The 25,364-nt window shown below is 38.6% G+C and overlaps 1 protein-coding gene and 2 pseudogenes across 9 annotated transcripts in view; 2 read left to right on the plus strand and 1 right to left on the minus strand.

Moving 5' to 3' along the window:
- The window catches only part of ZNF91 (zinc finger protein 91), a 90,468-nt gene that overhangs the window by 59,278 nt on the left and 5,826 nt on the right, over positions 1–25,364 (minus strand). For 7 of the 9 annotated variants that reach the window (XR_001753754.3, XR_007066980.1, XR_007066981.1 and 4 more), the window contains exons 2-3: positions 10,357–10,483; positions 9,461–9,556 (exon numbers count right to left, since the gene is read on the minus strand). Coding sequence is in view for 3 of the 9 variants with exons in the window: in XM_024451693.2 (XP_024307461.1) it covers positions 9,461–9,556; positions 10,357–10,483 (223 nt within the window). In the remaining 6 variants the exon portion in view is untranslated. The remainder of the gene's footprint in view (positions 1–9,460; positions 9,557–10,356; positions 10,484–25,364) is intronic. The other 2 variants (XR_007066982.1, NM_001300951.2) reach the window with 1 other exon arrangement.
- Positions 16,036–16,592, plus strand: BNIP3P8 (BCL2 interacting protein 3 pseudogene 8; annotated as a pseudogene).
- Positions 20,049–21,199, plus strand: CDC42EP3P1 (CDC42 effector protein 3 pseudogene 1; annotated as a pseudogene).

A 25,364-nucleotide genomic window follows, 5' to 3' on the forward strand; every position in this document is an offset into this window, starting at 1 on the left:
TACTAAAAATACAAAATTAGCTGTGCGTGGTGGCACATGCCTGTAATCCCAGCTACTCAAAGACTGAGGCAGGAGAATCACTTGAACCCGGAGGCAGTGGTTGTGGTGAGCCGAGATCGCGCCATTGCACTCCAGCCTGGGCAACAAGAGCAAAATTCCATCTCAAGAAAAAAAAAATGGTAGTTGTTTAATATGTATTAAGATTTAGCTTGCAAGGTAAAAACATTTTAGCAATATGTTGCATGAAAATTTCAAGATGATTAATATGACTAAATTAAATATTTATTTTCTGGTAAATTTTGTTTTTTTTTTGACAAGTAAAAATAATAATAACTAAAAGTACAGAGTTATGATAGTTTTAAATTATATTCACATTTAAAAGTGTTTCTCCCATAAAAAAATATAGATTCAGAAATAAATAGGATGTTGAAATTATAAGAATTTTATGACTACTCAGCTACACAGGATTAGAAAATCACTCACAACAAACCCACACAACAAATATACAAGTTATAAAAAATACAACGATAATATTTATACAGGCAAACAAACATAGAGATAATTCTATTGGAAAAAGACATATGGCTCAATCATATTTGATGTTGCTCCAGACTGTCTTAAATTGCATAAAGTTAAATATTGACATGCACAATTATTATACTAAAATATCAAAGCACAATTAACAGATGTGTAGTGGCATACCCTAAAATATATAACACAAAAATATACAATTGCAAAACCAAATTAAAACATGGAATGTAAACTTTATTAGGCACCATCAACTAGATTAACATATTCATTAAAAAATCTTAGAAGAAGAATATGGGAAAAAATAATACAGAGATTACTTGAAAATAAAAAAAGGTGAGAAATTCCCAAATTTTGATGTAATAAAAGAAAAAAAATTCTAACTAAGAATACTTGATTTAAATTTATTTCACTTTAAAAAGAAGATGAAAATAAAAAATTTCCAAAATAAAAAGTGAGCGTGTTCATCACCACTAGCACAGTTCTACAAAAAAAAAAAAAAATGCTACATGGTGTCCAGGCACCGTGGGCTGATGCCTGTAATCCTACAGTTTTAGGAGGCAAGCCTGTCAGAACACTAGAAACCAGGAGTTTCAGATCAGCCTGAGTAATGTGAGACTCTGTAAATAACAATAAGAAATGCTGAAATGAGTCAGTAAAATGAGTCAGTTTTGTTTTAAAAAAATACTGGACAGTATCATAAAACCATATATAAAATAAAGCTCTCTATTAAATGTAAATACACAGACAAATATAGAAGTCTTTTTTTTTTTTTTAATTGATCATTCTTGGGTGTTTCTCGCAGAGAGGGATTTGGCAGGGTCATAGGACAATAGTGAAGGGAAGGTCAGCAGATAAACAAGTGAACAAAGGTCTCTGGTTTTCCTAGGCAGAGGACCCTGCGGCCTTCCGCAGTGTTTGTGTCCCTGGGTACTTGAGATTAGGGAGTAGTGATGACTCTTAACGAGCATGCTGCCTGCAAGCATCTGTTTAACAAAGCACATCTTGCACCGCCCTTAATCCATTTAACCCTGAGTGGACACAGCACATGTTTCAGAGAGCACAGGGTTGGGGGTAAGGTCATAGATCAACAGCATCCCAAGGCAGAAGAATTTTTCTTAGTACAGAACAAAGTGAAAAGTCTCCCATGTCTACTTCTTTCTACACAGACACAGCAACCATCCGATTTCTCAATCTTTTCCCCACCTTTCCCCCTCCTCTATTCCACAAAACCACCACTGTCATCATGGCCCGTTCTCAATGAGCCGTTGGGTACACCTCCCAGACGGGGTGGTGGCCGGGCAGAGGGGCTCCTCGCTTCCCAGTAGGGGCGGCCGGGCAGAGGCGCCCCTCACCTCCCGGATGGGGTGGCTGGCCCGGCGGGGGCTGACCCCCCCACCTCCCTCCCAGATGGGGCGGCTGGCCGGGCGGGGGGCTGACCCCCATACCTCCCTCCCAGACGGGGCGGCTGGCCTGGCGGGGGGCTGACCAGAAGTCTTTACTATCATAATGATGATGCTTAAAATCCTTAAAGATCTTCTATAGAATATTTAAAACAGAATAAAAATGGTAATTGTAGACACCAAAATCCCATTTTCGATAAATAGAAGATTCATATAAAAATGAATAAGAAAACAGAAAACCTAGACAACATTATACACTGATTTATCATTCTGCATATAGAGGAATACCTGAGAATGGATAATTTATTAAAAAACCAAGTTTATTTGGCTCACAATTCAGCAGACTGTATAAAAAGTCTGTGCCAGCATCTGCTTCTGGTGAGAGTGTCAGCAAGCTTACAATCACGGTTGAAGGCGAAGATTAACTGTACACACCACAAGATAACAGACAGAGCAAGTACGAGGTGAAGGAGCCAGGTTCTTCTAACAAACCAGCTTTCATTTGAATTAATAAAGTGCACACATTTTGATTACCAAGAGGATGGTGCCAAACTATTCATAAGGACTCTGCCCCATGACCCAAACACCTCCTACCAGGTCCGACATCTAACATCAAGAATTACATTGCAGCATAAGGTTTGAGTAACATCAACATCAATACCATATTATAGACCAACTAGGTTTAACAGACATGTACAAAACTTTTCAGTCAAAAGCAAGGGAATATGCAATATTTTTATTTGCACCTGGTGTATTCTGTTACGACACATACTAAGTTTTATTAAATTTAAGAATGCCAGGTGGGTGGTGTAGCTCATGCCTATAATCCCAACACATAGAGAGACCAAGGTGTGAGGATCACTTACAGCTAAAAGTTTCAGGCCAGCCTGGGCAACATAGTGAGACCCTATCCCTACAAAATAATCAAATAATTATTCAGACATGGTACTTTGTTTGTAGTCCCAACTACTTGAGAGACTTAGGTGGAAAGATAACTTGAGCCCAGTAGGTTGAGGCTGCAGTGAGTCAAGATTATGCCAATACACTCCAGCCTGGGTGACAGAGTAAGATCCTGTCTTCAAACAAAAACAACAAACACAAAAAAACAACAAATAAATTTAAGAATATCAATATTATCCACTTTGTGTTTTCTGACCAAAACTCAAACTGGAGATTAAAACTGAAAAATCCAAAAATACATGAAAATAAAAAACTCTTCAACATATTTTTGCACAGGAATAAAAAAATTAATTTTTCAAAGATGTCAATACAACCAACAGTGGTACACAAATTCAATAGAATCTTTATAAAAATCCCAACAGTAGTTTTTTAAAGAAATACTGTTTGAGATGTTAAAATTTTGTTACGAACTATAGCCAAACACCCATGGAAAAAAAACAAAGGCATTATAACTTCTGATTTTGAAACGTACTAAAAGCAACAATAACAAAAACAATGAGGTACTCACACAGATAAACAGATGAAAGAACAGAGTAGAGAGGCCAGAAATGAACCCTTCTGTATATGGCCAAATAATCTCCCACAAAATTGACATGAGCACACAATGGAAGATAACCTTTTCAAAAAATTCTGTTAGAAACTGAATATCCATTCTGATAAAATAAAGATTATTTCCTTAAACCATATGTGAAAATCTTTTAATTAGACATAAGAAGGTAACTTTGTTGTTGTTGCTGTTTTGTTATTGTTGTTTTTTGAGATGGAGTCTCACTGTTACCCAGGCTGGAGTGCAGTGGCGCAGTCTCGGCTCACTGCAACCTCTGCCTCCCGGGTTCAAGCGATTACCCTGCCTCAGCCACCCGAGTAGCTGGGATTACAGGCACCGGGCACAGCGTCTGGCTAATTTATGTATTTTTAGTAGAGACAGGGTTTCACCATGTTGGCCAGGCTGGTCTCGAAATCTTGACCTCGTGATCCACCCACCTCAGCCTCCCAAAGCGCTGGGCGACGAGGCCCAGCCGCATAAATTTTTAATCTCTTAAACACATAGAGGGGAGGCAGGGCACTGTGGCTCATGCCTGTAATCCCAGCACTTTGGGAGGCTGAGATAGGTGGATCACAAGGTGAGGAGTTCAAGACCAGACCAGCCTGAACAAGATGGTGAAAACCTGTCTCTACTAAAAATACAAAAATTAGCCAGGCGGGGCGGCACGTGCCTGTAGTCTCAGCTACTCAGGAGGCTGAGGCAGAAGAATTGCTTGAACCCAGGAGGTGGGGGTTGCAGTGAGCCAAGATCACACCATTACACTCCAGCCTGGGTGACAGAGCGAAACTCCATCTCTCTCTCTCTCTCTCTCTCTCTCTCTCTCTCTCTCTCTCTCTCTCTCTCTATATATATATGAAACACATGACATTAGTCTTGGTGCCAAATTCTTAGATACAACATTAAATGCATGAGCAACAAAGAAAAAAACCAGAATAATTTAACTACACTACACTTCAAAATTTCTGCATACTTAAGTAAACATTTAATAGAGAAATAATGCCTCCTATAAAATGGATGAAAATATTTACAAATTACATGTGATAAGTGTGAATATCCAAAAAATATAAACAACTTTTAAAACGGAACAATAAAGTTAAATAACTTTATTTAGAAATAAATAATTAAAATAAATTTTCATAAAAAAACACAAATAAAAAAACATTTGAAAGGACACACAAAATTACTAATTTGTAGAGAAATGCATTAAAATCACAATGAGAAACAAAATCCCCTCACACCCACTTAAATGGTCACTATCCATTTTTTAAAAGCACCAAATCTCTTGATAATGCAATCAAAATGAAACCCTTGGCTGGGCACAGTGGTTCACACCTTTAATCCCAGCACTTTGGGAGGCCGTGGCAGGCAGATCACAAGGTCAGGAGTTCAAGACCAGCCTGCTAAACGTGGTGAAACCCTGTCTCTACTAAAAATACAAAAATTACCCAGGTGTGGTGACGTGTGCCTGTAATCCCAGCTAGTCAGGAGGCTGAGGCAGGAGAATCGCTTGAACCCAGGAGGCAGAGGTTGGAGTGTGATAGGATCGTGCCATTGCACTCCACCCTGGGCGACAGAGCAAGAATTTGTCTCAGAAAAAAAAAAACAACGCCCGGGAGGGAGGTGGGGGGCAGCCCCCACCCGGCCAGCCGCCCCGTCCGGGAGGGAGGTGGGGTGCGCCTCCGCCCGGCCGCTGCCCCGTCCGGGAGGTGGAGGGCGCCTCTGCCCGGCCGCCCCTTCTGGGAAGTGAGGAGCCCCTCTGCCCGGCCACCACCCCGTCTGGGAGGTGTAACCAACAGCTCATTGAGAAGGGGCCATGATGACGATGGCAGTTTTGTCGAATAGAAAAGGGGGAAATGTGGGGAAAAGATAGAGAAATCAGATTGTTGCTGTGTCTGTGTAGAAAGAAGTACACACAGGAGACTCCATTTTGTTCTGTACTAAGAAAAATTCTTCTGCCTTGGGATGCTGTTGATCTATGACCTTACCCCCAACCCTGTGCTCTCTGAAACATGTGCTGTGTCCACTCAGGGTTAAATGGATTAAGGGCGGTGCAAGATGTGCTTTGTTAAACAGATGCTTGAAGGCAGCATGCTCGTTAAGAGTCATCACCACTCCCTAATCTCAAGTACCCAGGGACACAAACACTGCGGAAGGCCGCAGGGTCCTCTGCCTAGGAAAACCAGAGACCTTTGTTCACTTGTTTATCTGCTGACCTTCCCTCCACTATTGTCCTATGACCCTGCCAAATCCCCCTCTCCGAGAAACACCCAAGAATGATCAATAAAAAAAAAAAAAAAAAGCAAAAAACAAACAAACAAACAAACAAAACTTATATTGATTGTTGGTGGAAAGCAGGATGCACCCATTATTTTATAATGTTATAAATGTACTTTAAATAAAATTATTATCAAATACAGCAATTCCATTTATGAATCTATATCTAAAATATGCATCATAAGACCCTGAAGACATATTTGATACAACGGAGTATTATTCAACCTTAAAAAAAAACACAAAAAACTTGTCACATTTAAAGATACACTTTGAGATTATGTCAACTGAAATAAACTAGTAACGAAACGATAAATGTTATGATTTCACTAAGATATATAAAATAGTCACACTCATAAAAACAGAAAGTGGAAGGGTGTTTGTCAAGGGCTAGAGAGAGCATAAAATGGTCAAATGTTATTTAATGGGCATTTCATTTTAATTTTGCAAGATGTAAAATTTCTAGAAGTCTTTTGCATAACAATGTTAATATTAACAGGCCTGAAATATACAGTTTTGTTTAGTTTTTTGAGACAGGGTCTCAATCTGTCACACAAGCTTGAGTAGAGTGGCACATTATGGCTCACTGCAGCCTTACACTCCCAGGCTCAAATAATCCTGCCCCTCAATCTCTCAAGTAGCTGGGACCACAGGTACACACCATCATGCCTGGATATTTCTTACATAAAAATGTTTGTAGAGAGGGTGTCTCCATATTTTGCCCAGGCTGGTCTCAAACTTTTGGGCTCAAGCAATCCTCCTGTCCTGGCCTCTCAAAATCCTGGTCTTACAGAAGTGAGCCACCACCATGCCTGGCCCTGACATGTACATTGAAATAGATTTAAGAAGGTAAATTATATGTTATGTGTTTTTACAACAATTATTTTAGGAAAAAAGACAGAAAAAATAAAGAATTATAAATTTTCTTGAAAATTACCTTCAAATCACAAAAACTTTTTTTCACACAAAGGAAATACATATTCATCATTAAACACATGGTGAAAATAATGCTATTTCAAAGGCTACTCACTTACACAAGACAAAACCAACATTGAAAGTGAACTAAGAGGCTGGGCAAGGTGGCTGACACCTGTAATCCCAGCACTTTGGGAGGCCACGGCAGGCAGATCACCTGAGGTCAGGAGCTCAAGACCAGCCTAACCAACATGAGAGAAACCCTGTCTCTACTAAAAGAAAAATACAAAATTAGCCGGGCATGGTGGTACATGCCTGATATCCCAGGTACATTAGAGGCTGAGGCAAGAGAATCGCTTGAATCTGGGAGGTGGAGGTTGCAGTGAGCCAAGATCATGCATTGCACTCCAGCCTCAGCAACAAGAGCAAAACTCCATCTCAAAAACAAAAAAGAAAAAAAAATGAGATAAGAAAGAATATATACAAGATAAGCTATAACCAAAACTGGGGTCATATTTGTAGACATAAAAACACACATATATAATCTGATTGTGATAGACATATGGCTCATTTATCTTTTAATTAAATCCCACACTGACTTAAAGTATACAAACAGAATTGCAAATTGTCTAAAATTATAATACATAAGTAAAACCAAAAAACAATAAACTCATATTAAGGAACTTACACTAAAAAACACACTAATGTAGAACTGCAAGAAAATAATGAAAGAAATGTTTACTCATAAAATCTAGTTGGCAACATTAATGTACGTTAACAAATAATTTGTCTAGAAAACGGCAATGTTTGACTAACTGTGCAGTCATGGAAGGCAGGCACTTTAAATTACTGGTATCTATTGTATGGCAATAAAATCCCAGAGAAAATGTAGTACAATCATAAATAGGAGATGCTAATGAGAAACTTAATAGATAAGCATTTAAAAGAAACTAGTGTCAATTTTTATGTTTTAAATATGTGCTATTTTTACACAAAATAAAATTACTGTAATTCAAGTTTAGAACCAACTATAGCCTTAAATTGCTAAATTATGTATATATTTAGCAAAATATGGTTAGAGCTTCATGTATAAAACAAATATTTGAGGAATACATTATGTTATTATTTAGTTACAGGCTGACAAAAGTGGCTGAAAATTCTGTAATTCCTATTTGCCTGCCTGTATACTAATTACCTAACTCACACACAACATGTACATTCTAGTATATTGTCCTAAATGTCTGAATCCAAAACTACAGACAAATTTGAAGTAGAAAATAAAAATAAAAATTTATATGGAGAGTGACATTAATAAGATAAAAAAAAAAAGATGCCCTATTTGCTTATCTCCTGACAGCAAGAAAATTTGGCAGCCATTCCTGACAAAAATGCGTTTGTGAGAGAACCAGGCATCATGGTTCACACCTGTAATGACAGCTACATGGCACATTAAAGTTGGAGAACTGCTTCCGGTCAAAATATTAAGACCTGCCTGGGTTATGTTGCAAGACCCCATCTCAAAAATAAGTGCCTTTAAGAGAGCTCTGAGATCCAGGATGGGAGTTATGAAACTCTGCTGAAGCCCAAGATCGAAGGTAATCCTTTTTAGAAGGCAAGCCTCATTCAGGCAGCAAACTACAGGACTACTGTTTTTGGCTACAGACAAGAAAATATTCCACTTAACTTGGTTCCACTGAGAATTTTGAACTGTACTCTGTAACCATCCCAAACTCTTCCCAGCTACAGACTTGGGGAGGTTCTGCCCTTCCAGAGGCCTGGAGGAAGACACCCATTTATAGCCATGCAGCAGGCCTGCAGACTTTGGCCTTTACTGTGGTCCCTGAAGCAGGTCCATGATTCAGTTCCAGCTCTCTGAGCCACAGTTCATGGCCGGTTCTGCCTATGTAGAAACCCAAAGTAACGTGGGAAAATCCTCTCTTGTACTAGATGAAAGCCATGCTCATCCACATCCTCATATAAAGCCCACCATATGCAGACCTGACTGCAGAAACCTGCCCTTGGGTCTGCCCTGCAGAGCAAAGTCCTGAAGGATATTCACTCTGTCCAAAAATTAAATGAGAATTATAACTATCCAAGCCCCTTTTAACAACACAACTAAAGGTGGACCCTTGTGCAAACCCAGCAGACTTAAGACCAAGCTACAACCCTTCTTCACTACAAACCCAGATGACATTCTATCACTCTGAGGACCCAATAAAAATAGATTTTTACTTTCTGAAACCAGTCTATAAATACTTGAACAAGTGTTTGCTCCTTCTTTACAGTCACCGATGCAAAACTATTGTTTCTTATTGTCAATGCTTCTATTTTAACATAGCACTCAAAGTATGTGGAAGACAAAACAGTCAAAAGAAAAATTTAAAGTCATTGAAATTGAAGACCAGTAAGTAAAATGTTGCTTTTTGTAGATCATGTAATCTTATATATATATATATATATATATATATATATATATATATAAATAAACAGTACTTTAAAACCTGTTTAAACTAATGAATACACTCAGTTAATTAGCAAAATGTAAAATGCAAAAAATTAGCAAAATGTAAAATTAGCAAAATGCACTCTTTTCTATGCCATGAACAGTACTCTGGCTGTCACTGTAAACTTGAAGAAAGATCATTGAAGGGAAAGTAGAATTCTTAGAGATTTTATAAGCATTAACAGAAGTGATAGCATAATTTAAAAAAAAAATTCAGGCTTCCCAGAAACTATTTCCTTTGGAACACAGCTTCTCAGATCACTTTAAAGACCTGCTTTCTTCTTGACTTTGGGCCTCTCATCCTTGTCGTCTGTTGTATTCACTCTCACCTACCTGTGGGTTCATCCACCATCTCATGTTGCTTCATATTCCAGGGCTCTTTTCCTTGCTCCAGATAAGTAATCAGGTCTGGCTTAGAGAGAGCAATACCTGTTTTATTAAAAATAACTAACATGAGTCTTGCTCATATTCTCCACCTGCCAACTTAGTAATGTGCTCAGTAAAGAGCATATAATAGAATATTCTAATAAATTGTCCCAATATACTAATTTGTAACAGAAATGTTTAAATATTTAGAAGATATTTTAATTTTATAGGTTCTTAATTTTACTGCTTGGTACTACTGTATCAAAAACTGGTGATGGCAATTAGATTTTAAGGTGTGAGTAACAGTATTTTATGCCACAAAACTTCTGAAATTACCACTAATCTAAAGTGAAGGACACAGATCAGCTCAGGAATGTGGAAAGTTCAGGTCAAGATGAAACATCTTGAGGAAATTCTTTTCTAAACAAACAAATCCCCAGGATTTTCTTGAAAACAGAAATCTGAAAGCATAAATTTCCAGAAAACATTCTACAAAACAGAAATGAAGCCTGTAATCCCAGCACTCTGGGAGGCCAAGGCGGGCAGATCATGAGGTCAGGAGATCGAGACCATCCTGTCTAACACAGTGAAACCCCGTCTCTACTAAAAATACCAAAAAAAAAAAAAAAAAAAAAATTAGCCGGGCATGGTGGTGGGCGCCTGTAGTCCCAGTTACTCCGGAGGCTGAGTCAGGAGAATGGTGTGAACCTGGGAGGCAGAGCTTGCAATGAGCCAAGATCTCGCCACTGCACTCCAGTCTGGGCAACAGAGCAAGACTCTGTCTCAAAAAAAAAAAAAAAAAAAAAGAAAAGAAGTAAAACCATTAGTTTATATTAGAAACTTAGTATTAAAGTTTTCCTTACCCAGGAAGGCCAGGTTTCTGTAGTTCTCTAACATCACATTCCTATATAAATTCTGCTGTGCAGTGTCCAGACATTGCCACTCCTCCGGAGAGAATTCTATGGCCACATCCCTAAATGTCAACAGTCCCTGAAAAACACACACAAACACACATATTTACAAAGTGGCTATGGGCAGAATTTTTCATTTGACTCAAGGTAAAATCAGAAAGTGACTAGAACTGGTTCTGACTTATAAGAGTGGCTGAAATTATCCAATAAAATAATTGTCAACACACAAACGTTTTGTAATGTATTCTCTAACTCTGAGAAAAGAGAGTGGCATAATACCCACAATATCAGTGTATATATGATACTTGTCTAGATGATAAAGTGTAAAATTGAGGGCATAAATATTAACAAGTACATTTTTGAGTGTTATATTTACATAATACAGAATGACTTGTGTATTTTTTTCAGGTGAAAAAGGCATAGTTGTTATATATTTCAGACACAATAGACACGTTGAGTTAGAAGGTACCACTCAAAATTTTTTTTTTTTTTTGAGACAGAGTCTCACTCTGTTGCCCAGGCTGGAGCACAGTGGCGCAATCTCAGCTCACTGCAAGCTCCGCCTCCCGGGTTCCGTGATTCTCCTGCCTCAGCCTCCCGAGTAGCAGGGACTACAGGTGCCCACCACCACGCCCGGCTAATTTTTTGTATTTTTAGTAGAGACAGGGTTTCACTGTGTTAGCCAGGATGGTCTCGATCTCCTGACCTCGTGATCCTCCCGCCTCGGCCTCCCAAAGTGCTGGGATTACAGGCATGAGCCACCATGCCTGGCCAGTACCACTCAAATTTTAATGTGTATGATAAACTAGACATCTTGTTAATGCAGATTATTTTTTCAGGAGATCTGAAATAAAGTCTGAATTACTGAATTTCTAAAAAGTTCACTAGTAATGCCAATGTTTTGACCCCAAAAGACTATTCTGTCAAACATCCAGTAAGTGGAACAGCCTGTGTTTTTTTCAGTTTTTCTGGCCTGTAAACAAAGATGAGAGCTTTCATTTACCAAAAAAAGATCAATGCAAAGAAAACCTAAAAAAAAAAGGGCAGCTGCCAGATTAAATGTGATGTTTTATGCACATCACCTGCATAAAGATACTTAATGATGAAGAGAAAAATAACTCTGTAGTGAAAAAATCTGTAAGAGAGCTTATTAAGCAAGTGAGTTATTAATACCAATTGCACTAGGACAAGTTTCTATAGTATGCTGATGCACCATATTGCCCCCACTAAAGTAAATTACAGTCTCAATTTAACCATAAGAAAATATCAGTTGCATGGAAAGTTCAAGGTACAGGTATCTTCCGTGTTCTACAATTTTTAATAGTGATTTTAAGTACTTTCTTTAACACCCTAATAAGCAGCTATATCCTGATAATTTTTTCCAAACTTTCTGGGTAATAAATGCCATCCTGTTTAAATGAGCACTTTCTTAATCCTGTAATGCACAGAGATAATAAAAAAACAGAACCTCAACATTATATGTTCTCCATCTTCACTAAGAATCCCAGGTTTTCTCCATAGAAATAGATTATCCACACCTTTCCATGTTCAACAGCCACAAAGAGAACATTTTTAATATTGCAGATCACAAATTCATGGTGAGAATTCTGCATGGCATATAAGAAGCCATCATGCAGAGAAGGCTCTGGTAGATAGAAAAGAAATATTTTCAGAGATCCTTGACTATCATAAGCTTTTTTTTTTTTCTCTTTTTTTTTGAGACGGAGTTTTGCTCTTGTTGTTGCCCAGACTGGAGTGGAATGGCACGATCTCGGCTCACCACAAGCTCTGCCTCCCGGGTTCAAGCAATTCTCCTGCCTCAGCCTGCCGAGTAGCTGTGATTACAGGCATGCATCACCACACCCAGCTAATTTTGTATTTTTTGTAGAGACAGGGTTTCTCCATGTTGGTCACACTGGTCTCAAACTGCCAACCTCAGGTGATCTGCCCGCCTCGGCCTCCCAAAGTGCTGGGATTACAGACGTGAGCCACCACGCCTGGCCTATCATAAGCATTTTTAAAAGTAGTTAAGACAAACTCATTAGGGAGAAAAAATACAGGTACAGAAGTAAAAATTTGCAAGTACTAAACGCGTGGCATTCCACGAGGCAGAGTGGACACAGCTCTTGATCTGAGACATGTTTAGCTGAAAAAAAGCCATTTTTTCTCTTTCTCCTCCTCCTCTCAAATTCTTTCTCAGATGAGTTTTTCTGGACTAATTATGTCTGCATTTTGAGAATTTGCCTTTAATAATTTGAGCACATGTTTACCTATTACCACCACACCCAAAGGCAGAAGGCCCAAGACACAAAAACTCTACCCATTTCTGTCCTGAATAACAGAAAAGATTCAGAACAATGAGCTGCTCCACAGAGATAAAAATATAAGTTTCTCTTTTTTTTTTGTCCTCAGGTGCCCTCCCCTGCTACGGACATCAGCAATTTCTGCTACAGTAATACAAATATTGGCCACACTGTCCTGTCCTTACCAAATCCAAATAGAACAGGTTCCTGGACCACCCTTTAGTGCAAAGGTGGAACTTAACTCTCATGAATGTATCTTAAACTTCTCATACTTGATTCTGGCACCTTAGAGTCACAGGAGACACTTAATTAAAACAAATAGATGCTATCTTCAGAACATTAAACAGAAACTGTGAAAAGGGCACAAGAGAGTTCTGTGAATTGGCCATGTGCTTCTAATTAGAATCCTGAGCTTATAACCACTTACCTAAGCATTGCCACTCAAGCTTTAATTAGCTTATAAATCACTTGGTAAACTTGGCCCCACTCTATGTAATGTGATTCTGCAGGTTTGGAAATGGTCCATAAATGGGTGTTCTAAACAAGTCCCCTGTCAGTGCTGATGTCACTCTCTCTGGTCTCATTATTAGCATTTGTTAGAAAAATGAGGCACAGCACAGAGTCCCTTACACTCAGCACTCCTGTCACAACACAAATACTTCTGATACAAATGAAGACAACCATTCTCTATCTTAAAGTATACTACTTGCTGGCTCTTTAAAGTTCACAAAGAAAACAGAAAACAGCAATTTCTGAGTAAGTCTGCATTTGGAAAACAACATGTGCACATGTACTAATGCAATGTTTATTAAGCAGGTACTATGTAATCAACAGGATGTTACAGAGCACTGTGATAATTCATTATTTGATTTAATTCTAATAACACCCTGTGAGTTGATACTAAGTGTTGAATAATCCCAAGGATTTAGAATAAGGATCCAGCATTTTTATTTCTTCTTCTGTTTTTGTCACTCATTTTTTTAAAAAAATGCATAGAATAAAATCTAAATATAGACAGATGAGAGGGATACAGATAGAGTGTAATGTAATTTAGATGAATTATTATGTTTATATTTACTATTTTGTGACTTGTGAATCAACTACTGTATCTGCAGGAACAGAAAACAAGTTGCTAAATGGAATGTCTCTGTAAACACTGGTTTTAATATAAAATTATTAAATTAAGACCCTATAATACATGTTATTTTTCCATTTATCTGCTATTGGGTTTCAGAAAAGTGTGAGCACCAACTCTAAAAAGGCAACAGGATTCATTACCCAAAACTCTGATCTCTACTAGTTAGTTCTGCGAGGCAAAACTCCAGGGTAGGGCAAGACTTAAATAAGGCCTTCAAAAAGGGTGAATCTAAACAGGGCTGAAGCAGGGTGTAGAGTTGATGTAAAATTCTGTTCTTTATGCCACTGGGGAGTATTTTTAGTTCCGTTTCTTTTTTTAAACTTAGCTAAAAAACAAAAACGAAAACAGAAACTTAAATCTCAGAGTTTGTGTAATTTTAATCTTTTTTAGCCCCACTGCCCTTTCAATTTTATATCACATACTAATAAGCAATTTAAACAAATCCCTTAAGGTTTTCTAGAATAATTTTTTAGATGATAAATAAGTATTCTTAGCAGGGCATAAAAAATACAAATAATAACTTTTTTGTTTATTAATATATGTTCAGGTGTAGACATCACAAGTCACAAAAATATAAAGAAAACGGCCCAAATAAAGCCCATATTTTTGCACACATCTATTTATTGTACCCAACCTTTTGATGCATAATTAAACCACTTATCCAGTTGCTAGTCTAGACTAAAAGTTCTTGCATGGTAGGGACCATGACTGCTTCATCTATTTTTCTAATGACTATATGAATTGGAAGCAATTAGTTTATTTGTTTGAGTCTCCAGACCTCCTCATCATTTTTCACTCAAGTACCAGGGAACTAGAGAAACTCTCACCTGGGTACCAACCAAAGACATCTCTTGTATGAGGGGAGGAGCAAACACAGGATGACTCATTTCTTTTACACTAAGTTAGAAGCAAAATTAACCACTCTAGTCAGCCTGACACAATTCTGTTCTGGAGATTCTCAAATGTCTCAAAGATACCTAGGTGACTGTGAGAGCATTTCCAGTGACCCTGGGCTGATGGTCCAATAATAAGCCAGCAAGAGAGACTCAGGCTGATTCTAAATAGAAAATGAAACTACCAAATAGGCAGAGACACAATTCTGCCTGCATATTTAGGTGACAGCACACATTTTACAGCGTAACTGTGAGTTGACTGGAAGCCTGAGAGGGAAAGTCCCCTCTAGAGTAGAGCTTGGTTGGCACCTTATGTGTTTATATTATGTCTGGTAATTCTACACAGTGTTTGGGAAATATAATTTTTATTAATTCTCTTCAGCACCAGAGAAACCACAGTAATAGAACAGAAAGAAAACTGTCTCATTACACAATTAAGTCTGAATGTCACATGCATTACAATCCATCTGCTTAAGAGATTGAAAAGAAATAAAGACGGTTACCGTAATTAGTTCACAAGTAGAAGAATTTACAGCGCCATGTCATAGGTAGTTCATCCTAAATTCACCTGGTCATTGGGGAGGTCATCCATGTATGCTAATTGGTTATATTCAATGACAAAATAAGCTTTTCACATCTTCATGGCAGAAGGTAGTTTTGCAACTTGAAGCCAGGTGCCTGCTTAAGGTAGACTTTCACTCTTCTACAAAAGTGGTTGAATAGGGTGCTATCTTTTTGGCTACTTGCATTTTAAAGCACTGGCTCTCTACTCCCTGAGGACTTGACTAGTGCACTCCTGCTTCCCCTCTTCTGGTGGCCAGTGTCCTCTTTTGTTTCCTACCATCTGCCACTGTGGTACAGCCCACAGCACACGGCTCACAGCTGGCAGCTCACATCTTAGATGAACGACAATTGCCACAGCAGCACTTTAGTGTCACATCAAAGAGTGAAGTCTGGCCGGGTGCGGTGGCTCATGCCTGTAATCCCAGCACTTTAGGAGGTTGAGGTGGGCAGATCATGAGGTCAAGAGTTCAAGAGCAGCCTGGTCAACATAGTGAAGCCCCATCTCCACTAAAAATAAAAATAAAAAATTTGCTGGGCATGGTGGTGGGCACCTGTAATCCAAGCACTCAGGAGGCTGAGGAAGGAGAATCCCTTGAGCCCAGAAGGCGGAGGTTGCAGTGAGCCGAGATTGCGAGATTGCACCATTGCACTCTGGCCTGGGCAATGGGGGGAAAATCCGTCTCAAAAAAAAAAAAAAAAAAAAAAAAAAAAAAAAAAAAGAGTGAAGCTTGAGCTGCAGAAGGAGAGCTTGCAGGCCTCCCGGGTAGAATCGCACCTTCACAATAATGGGAATGCGAGCATTATCTAAGCCACAGTTTCTATTTATAATGGTGACATGGAAAATATACTGCTGGGTTTCCAGCATGCATCCAGATAGAGATAGCTCTAAGAGTTCTCACTGTGACAGCCCATGTCTTTCACAGACATTATGGGATACTAATAGGGTTTCTAAAACAGATACACAAAGCATTAGAAAGAAAAACAGCTCTCATTCCGAGAAAGATTATATTGAGAGAAAAAAACAAGTTAAAAGCGTCTTAAGAAAAAACTGAGATTACATATAAGATTGATCAAGTCAGCCAGAAAATATTCCTCTAAAAATAATTTCTCTCTAAATATCCAAAGTGCATAGCTACTCACAGCATGAGAAACATGAGTGTTATGAAGAAAGGGCACATTATCAGCAGAATTTTAGAAGATTTTTTTCTATCTCTGCTGCTCTCTAATCTGCTGCCCATTAAATGTGGAATCTATATAGAAATATATCTGACAACTACCACCAGCACTTTTTGATTAAAAAAATTAAAACCTGTGTTAATATAATGGAATATATGTGAGCCTGCAACATAACTAACTAAACAGCTATACAGTTTTGGGGTGGCCAAATCACCTGCCTTTATTTGTCCTGTAATAGCAGCATTCCAATTTCTGAAATGAAAGCCACTAAAATTATACTTACCTATAACTATCCCTATTGGTTAAATTAATAAGTATATCAGACTAATCTCTACTGTAACAATTTGGTAATACATTTTCTTTGGATATTAGATATAAATATGTAATTATGAATAATTTTAATATACTACTCATAATGTATGTAGGATTTTAAAAAATTTTCTGCAACTATAATTCAGTTGAAAAACTACATTTCAAAACTATGAATCACAATATTAAAACAACTATTTAAGGAATTCATTCAAAGTAAATATTGTGGCTTTATATTCATACTCTTGCAGAAAATACTATTGAATGTATATGAATGCAGGTTGTCTACAAACATTATACATTACTATGCTAATTGTACTGAATAAATAGAAACAAAGGTATGACAACACACTCCACTTTTCAGTTTATAAACTGAACTCTTTTTTTCTTTCTCTTTTTTTTTTTTTTTTGAGACTGAGTTTTGCTCTCATTGCCCAGGCTGGAGTGCAACGGCATGATCTCGGCTCACCTCAACCTCCACCTCCTGGATTCAAGTGATTCTCCTGCCTCAATCTCCCGAGTAGCTGGATTACAGGCGTGCGCCACCATGCTCAGCTAATTTTGTATTTTTAGTAGAGACAAGATTACTCCATGTTGGTCAGGCTGGTCTATAACTCCCAACCTCAGGTGATCCGCCCGACTTGGCCTCCCAAAGTGCTGGGATTACCAGCATGAGCCACCGCGCCCAGCCATAAACTGAACTCTTTTTTCTTTTGTAGTATAAATACTTTAGCCTGCAAATAATCATCATGGATAATCAGGTTTCTGTCAAACAACTTACTCAGTATCTTTTAGTCTTTATAATTCTTTATTGCTAAATTTAATCCTATTTTTATGCTCAACTTTTGTGTGCTTTTAGAATGAGCAAGACTGAACAAATCTGTGTCAACTTTAAAAGACTAAAAATTGTAAGAACAATCTTTTGCCAAAGCAAAAACGAAGCAATTAATCTCGGGTCCCAGATAAAGACAATCCTGAGACAAAAAAAAAAAAAAAAAAAATGACAAAAGGTTTATTCAGCTGTTATTTGATTTATATATATTTCAAAAAAAGGGAGATAAAATATATACGTAATCTAAATGTTATAAGAAAAGAGATTTTAGTAAGATATTTTCTTACTTTTATGTAGACTAATTAAGCCTCTTATTTCTAATTTATATTTTCTTTTACAACAGCCAGGTCTCTAAACATGTTCTTGAACTCCTGGACATCTAAATTTTGCACACTGTGTGCACATGAAAGAATGTTTATGGAAGAAAAAACAGAAGAGAGAAAGGTGTTACATAAAATTCATAGGTTCAGATGAATAAAGCATGTTCTCAGAGACCTATGAAGAGATTTAGATTCAGACACAATAATAGTGGGAGACTACAACATCCCACAGGCACTAATAGACAGATAATTGAAGAAGAAAATTAACAAAATATGAGAACCTAAACTCAACACTTGACCAAATATTCCTAATAGGTATCTACAGAACTCTTCATCTAAAAATAACATAACATACATTCTTCTCATCGCCACGTGGCACATACTGACCACACAATCAGAAATAAAAAAATCCTCAGGAAATTCAAAAATCTCAAAATTATACAAACCAAACACACAGAGATATTACCACTGACCCCACAAAAACATCTTGAAGTCTATTATGAACACCTCTGTGCACACAAACAAGAAAATCTAGAAAAAATGAAAAAAAGTATTAAGGAATACATCCTTCCAAGAATGAACAAAAAAGAAATCAAAGCCCTAAACAGATGAACAAGAAGCTCAAAAACTGAACTGTAATAAATAGCCTACCAACCAAATAAAGCCAAGGACCAGACATTCACAGGTGGACCAGACGTACAAAAAAGTGCTGGTATTATTTCTACTAAAACTATTTTAAGAAATTAAGAAAAAGTAACTTCTCTCCAACTCATTATATAAGAACAGCATTATTCTGATACCAAAACCTGGCAGAGATAAAACAAACCAATAAAATTCAGGCCAGTATCTTTGAACACTGATACAAAAATCTTCAACAAAATCATGACAAAATCCAGCAGCATATCCAAAAGCTAACCCACTATGAGCAAGTAGAATTTATTTTGGGAATGCAAGGTTGGTTCAACATACACAAATTAATAAATGTGATTCATCACATAAAAAGAACTACTAAAGACAGAAACCACAAGATTACCTCAGTAGATGCAGAAAAAGCTTTTGGTAAATTTTAACATCTTTCATGTTAAAAATCCTCAACAACCTAGGCATTGAAGGTACATGCTTTAAAATAAGTTATCTATGACAAACCCTCAGCCCCAATATACTGAATAAACAAAACCTGGAAGCGGATGGGTACAGTGGTTCAGTCCTGTAATTTCAGCAATTTGGCAGGCCAAGGCAGGTGGATCGCCTGAGGTCAGGAGTTTGAGATCAACCTGGCTGACATAGCAAAACCCCATCTCTACTAAAAATGCAAAAATTAGCCAGGTGTGGTGGCGGGTGCCTGTAATCCCAGCTACTCAAGAGGCCGAGGAAGGAGAATCGCTTGAACCCAGAAGGCAGAGGCTGCAGTTGGCCAAGATTGTGCCCCTGCACTCCAGCATGAGAGACAAAGGGAGACTACCTCAAAAAGAAAAAAAAAAAGCTTGAAATATTCCTCCTTGAAAACTGGCAAAAGGCAAAAGATGCCTTCTCTTAACACTACTATTCAACATAAAATTGGAAGTCCTGGTCAGAGCAATCAGGCAAAAGATAAAAATAAAAGGCATTTGGCTGGATGCAGTGGCTCACACCTGTAATCCCAGCACTCTGGGAGGCCAAGGCGGGTGGATCACGAGGTCAGGAGTTCGAGACTAGCCTGACCAACATGGTGAAACCCTGTCTCTACTAAAAATACAAAAATTAGCCAAGCGTGGTGTCACGTGCCTGTAATTTCAGCTACTCACGAGGCTGAGACAGGATAATCGCTTGAACCTAGGAGGCAGAGGTTGCAGTTAGCGAGATCGTGCCACTACCCTCCAGCCTGGGCGACAAAGCAAAACTCCATCTAAAAAAAAATTAAAATTAAAATTAAAGGCGTTTAAACAGGAACAGAGGAGGTCAAACTATCCCTGTTTGCAGACAACAGGTTTCCACATCAGGAAAACCGTAGAGACTTGGCAGAATAGCTCTTTAAACTTACAAATAACTTCAGTATAATTTCAGGATACAGCCCTCCGCGCCCAACCAATCCCGGGCTGCAAGGGACCTGGGGAGCTGCAGCCTGGCCAGGGCAGTGCACTCAGGTGGCCTCGCTTCCCTGCAGGTCACCGCCCACCACGCCGGAACCGCGCACAGCTAGAGCCACTTCTGAAGCCACTTGAGAAAAATTTGACAGTTCCTAACGAAAAAGATTCTTCAGAAACATATACCATCTGTGAAAAAAGTTGCCCTTTCTTCCGCTTGCAAAACAGACATTCTCAAATTCCAAAATGCCAGCCAAGGCCCCAATTTACCTGAAAGCAGCCAATAACAAGAAAGGAAAGAAATTTAAACTGAGACATTCTGTCTCCCGATATCATCAGTCCCCCTCTTGGAGGCTTTTGCCATACCATCCAAATCGGCAAAGAGGGCCAAGCATGACGTCTTTGGAGATATTTCCTTTCTTCAAGGGAACAATGAGCTTTTACCTGGAAACTAGGAGAAAGCACACCTGGGTCAGCTCCCCGGGCATAGTAAGTTCTTCCGGGCCAACAGCACCTCAGACTCTGTGTTCACAGAAACACCCTCCTCAGTGGTCAAAAATACCATCTCCCTCACGATCACTGGAGGGTCCCAAGCTCTCATGTTGCTCTTATTGTCACCGGTGAACTTTAATTCCAAACAGGAGTCCTTTCGGCCAGCAAAGTTGCCAAGGCTTAGCTGCGAGCCCGTCATGGAGGAAAAAGGTCAGGAGAAAAGCAGTCTGTTGGAGAACGGGACAGTCCACCAGGGAGACACCTCATGGGGCTCCAGCGGTTCCGCATCTCAGTCCAGACAGGGCAGGGACAGCCACTCCTCCAACCTGTCCGAACAGTACCCCGAATGGCCAGCCGAAGACATGTTTCACCATCCCGCGTCATGCAAGCTCATCAAGGGAAAGACTAAGTCAGAGGAGTCCCTCTCTGATCTTACAGGTTCCCTCCTCCCCCTGCAGCTTGATATTGGGCCCTCACTTTTGGATGAGGGGCTGAATGTCACGGAAAAAAATAAGTAACAGGATGCGAACTTATTTCCTTTGGGGTAGAAGGTACAAAAACAAACTAAACTAACTGCAGTTGAACAGAAGGGCTTCTGAAGCTGTATTTGCAGTTTTGTGATGGGTTTTCTAAAATAATATTCTTATAAAGCATTTTTATTTTTTACCTGTTATAGCTTGTTTGCAAAAACAATTTAGAAAAAAAAAATCCTGTCTTGGCAAAACGAGGAAATCTGTCAGTCAGAATCCATTTTCAGCAGGCATTGGTGATGTTTGGCTCAGATATTGTTTGCAGACACACAAGAAATCTAGCTTGGCCAGGATTGGCACTAGCTACAAAGGGCTGGACGTGTCACATTAGAAATTTACAGAACTTTACAGCACTCCAACATTTTCTGAGCAAGAGGAAGTAAAAACATATTTAACACCTCAGCCTTTTTTCTAGACTCTTTTCTATATATTGCTTGGGCTCACCGTAGAGAATTCTCCAGTGTTAAAACTTTTCTGTTTTCACATTTGAATTTTACGGGTTTTGGAGATTTTCTTGTAGTTCTTATATATCCCTATATATTATATCTACATTGCAAAATTTTAACTGTCAGCTACATGTTGGTAAGATACAGGCAAAGTACTACTGTAACTAAGTTATTTTTAAAGTAAAAATATATTTTTACATGCCTTTGGAAAAAAATAATTTTAGGATACAAAATAAATGGACAAAAATTAGTAGCATCCCTGTGAATCAACAACATCCAAGCCAAATGTGATCATAAACATAATCCCATTCACAATTGCTGCAAAAATAATAAAATATCTAAGAATACAGCTAACCAGGAAGGTGAAAGATCTCTATAAGAATTACAAAACAATGCTTAAAGAAGTCAGAAATGGCACAAATGGAAAACAACTTTATGCTCATAAATAGAAAAAATCAATATCCTAAAAGTGATCATACTGTCCTCCAAAATTTACAGATTTAATGCTGTTCGATATCAAATGACCAAAATATTTTTAACAGAATGAAAAAAAAACTGTTGTAAAATTCATATAAAACCAAAAAAGAGTCTGAATAGCCAAAGTAAACATAAGCAAAACAACAAAGCTGAAGGCATTACATTACCTGTTTTCAAATTATACTGCAAAGCTACAGTAAACAAAGCAACATGGAACTGGTACAGAAACAAACTCATAGATGAATGTAACAGAATAGGGAGCCCAGAAATAATGCCACACACCTACAACCATCTGATCTTCACCAAAAGTAACAATAGAAATGTGGAAAGAATTCCCTATTTAATAAATGGTTGTGGAATAACCAGCTAGCACTATGGAGAAGACTAAAACTGGACCCCTTTATTACACCATACACAAAAATCAACTCAAGATTAATTAAAGACTGAAATGTTAATTTTAAAATGATAAAAAACCCTGGAAGATAACCAAAGAAATACCATTCTAGACACAGAAACTGGCAGAGATTTCATGATGAAAATACCAAAAGCAATTACAACAAAAGTAAAAATTGACAAATTGGACCTAATTAAACTAAAAATCTCCTTCAAAGAAAAGGAAACTATCAACACAGTAAACAGACAACCTACGGAATAATAGAAAATATTTGCAAACTATGCTTCTGACAAACGTCTAATATCCAGAATCCATAAGGAACTTAAACAAGTTTACAAGGAAAAAATACCTCATTAAAAAGTAGACAAGAAACATGAAAAAGATGCTTTTCGAAAGAAGACAAACATTTGGCTAACAAGCATGCAATAAAATGTTCATCAATAATCATTAGAGAAATGCCAAGAAAAACCATGAGATACCATCCACACCAGTGAGAACAGCTATTAAAATGTCAAAAAATAGATACTGTCAAGGTTTCAGAGAAAAGGGAATACTTATACATTGCTGTTAACAGTGTACATTAATTCAACCATTGTAAAAAGCGGTGTGGCAATTCCTCACAGAACTAAAAACAGAATTACCATTTCACCAAGCAACCTCATCACTGGGTATATACCCAAAGAAATACAAATTATTCTCTCATAAAGACACATGCACAAGGGTGTTTCACTGCAGCACTATTCACAATAGCAAAGACATGGAATCAACTTGAATGCCTATCAATGGTAGACTGAATAAAGAAAATATGGTATGATCAGGCACAATGGCTCATGCCTGTAATCCCAGCACTTTGAGAGGCCAAGGCAGGTGGACTGCCTGAGCTCAGGAGTTTGAGACCAGCCTGAGCAATATGGGAAAATCCCATCTATAAAAATGCATCTCTAAAAAAAATACAATAAGAAAAATTAGTTAGGCATGGTGGCACACACCTGTGGCCCCAGCTACTTGGAAGGCTGAGGAACAAGAGTATTGCTTGGCCCACCACGATGGCTCATGCCTGTAATCCCAGAACTTTGGGAGGCCAAGGTGGGTGGATCACCTGAGGTCAGGAGTTCAAGACTAGCCTGGCCAACATGGTAAAACCCCATCTCTTCTAAAAATACAAAAATTAGTCGGGCATGGTGGTGGTGGGCATCTGTACTCCCAGCTACTCAGGAGGCTGAGACAGGATAATTGCTTAAACCCGGGAGGCAGAGGTTGCAGTGAGCTGAGATGGCACTATTGCACTTCATTCTAGACAACAAGAGTGAGACTGTCTCAAAAAAAAAAAAAAAAAAAAAAGGCCAGGCACAGTGGCTCATGCCTGTAATCCCAGCACTTTGGGAGGCAGAGGTGGGCAGATCACTTAAGGTCAGGAGTTCCAGACCAGCCTGGTCAACATGGTGAAACCCCGTCTCTACTAAAACTACAAAAATTAGCAGGGCGTGGTGGCGCACACCTGTAATCACAGCTACTCAGGAGGCTGAGGCAGGAGAATTGCTGGAACCCGAGAGGCGGAGGTTGCAGTGAGCCAAGATTATGTCACCGTACTTCAGCCTGGGCAACAGAGTGAGACCCTGTCTCTAAAATAAAATAAAATATATAATAAAAAAATATGATACATAAACATCATGGAATACCGTGTGGTCATAAAAAACAAACAGAAAACAATAACCAAAAACATTGTTTTTGTATAATTCATATAAAACCAAATTGTAAAATTCATATAAAACCACAACAGAGGCTGAATAGCCAAAGTAAACATAAGCAAAACAACAAAACTGAAGGCATTACATTACCTGTTTTCAAATTATACTACAGAGCTACAGTAAACAAAGTAACATGGAACTGGTACAGAAAAAAACAAGATTATGCCCTTTATAGCAACATGAAGCTGGAGACCATTATTCTTGGAAAACCAATGCGGAGGCCAAATGCAGTGGCTCACGCCTGTAATCCCAGCACTTTGGGAGGCCAAGGCAGGCAAATCACCTGAGGTCAGGAGTTGGAGACCAGCCTGGCCATTATGGTGAAACGCCATCTCTACTAAAAAATACAAAAATTAGCCAGGCATGGTGGTGGGCACCTGTAATCCCAAGCTACTTGGGAGGCTGGGGATGGAGAATTGCTTGAACCCAGGAGGTGGAGGTTGCAGTGACCAAAGATCACGCCATTGCACTCCAGCCTGGTGACAAGAGTGAAACCATCTTTTAAAAAAAAAGAAAGAAAGAAAACAAATGCGTAAATGGAAAACCAAATGCATGTTATTTATAAGTAAGAGCTAAATAATAAAAACATGAACACAGAGGGGAACAACAGACACTGACGCCTAGTTGAGGGTGGAGGGTGGCAGGAGAAACAGGGTCAGAAAAAATACCTCTTTGGTGCTATACTTAGTACCTTAGTTACAAAATAATCTATACACAAAACCACCATGACACAATTTTAGCTGTATAACAAACCTGCATGTGTACCCCTAAACCAAAAATAGAAGTTTAAAAAAAAAAACTCCCTGGGTAGGGAAGAGTACACTCCAGGTAGAAAGACTGGTTTGTGCTACAGATAGTGGCCCAGGTGGGGCTGTACTCTGATTTATTTCTGGGTCCATGCAGGCAGATGAGTTTATAAACAGGTGGTCCAGAACCCCAGGCTGGTGGACAAAACAGCCTGCTGCTGCAGATTCAGTGTCTGGAGGTGGGAATATGCCAGAAGACTTGGAGATACTTCTGTAAGTTTTTGGCAAAAAAAAAAAAAAAACACTAGGATCAAAAATGCTGTAGTAAAATTCCTGAGTGTGGTTCCCTGTCCTGGGAGAGGTGTGGACACATTAATGTCTAGTGGGTATGTTAGTGAGTGGGTGAAAATCTTGTGGTGGTGGCTGTGGCAAAAGGGGATCTGCCATCAGAGCTCCTTTCCTCTAAGTTTTAGGTCCTCTGTCACCCTGGAAGGGGAGCTGGAATCACAGAACAAGGGACAGTGTGACA

The sequence above is a fragment of the Homo sapiens genome, chromosome 19 (assembly GCF_000001405.40).
Source record: "Homo sapiens chromosome 19, GRCh38.p14 Primary Assembly".
Lineage (NCBI taxonomy): Eukaryota > Metazoa > Chordata > Mammalia > Primates > Hominidae > Homo > Homo sapiens.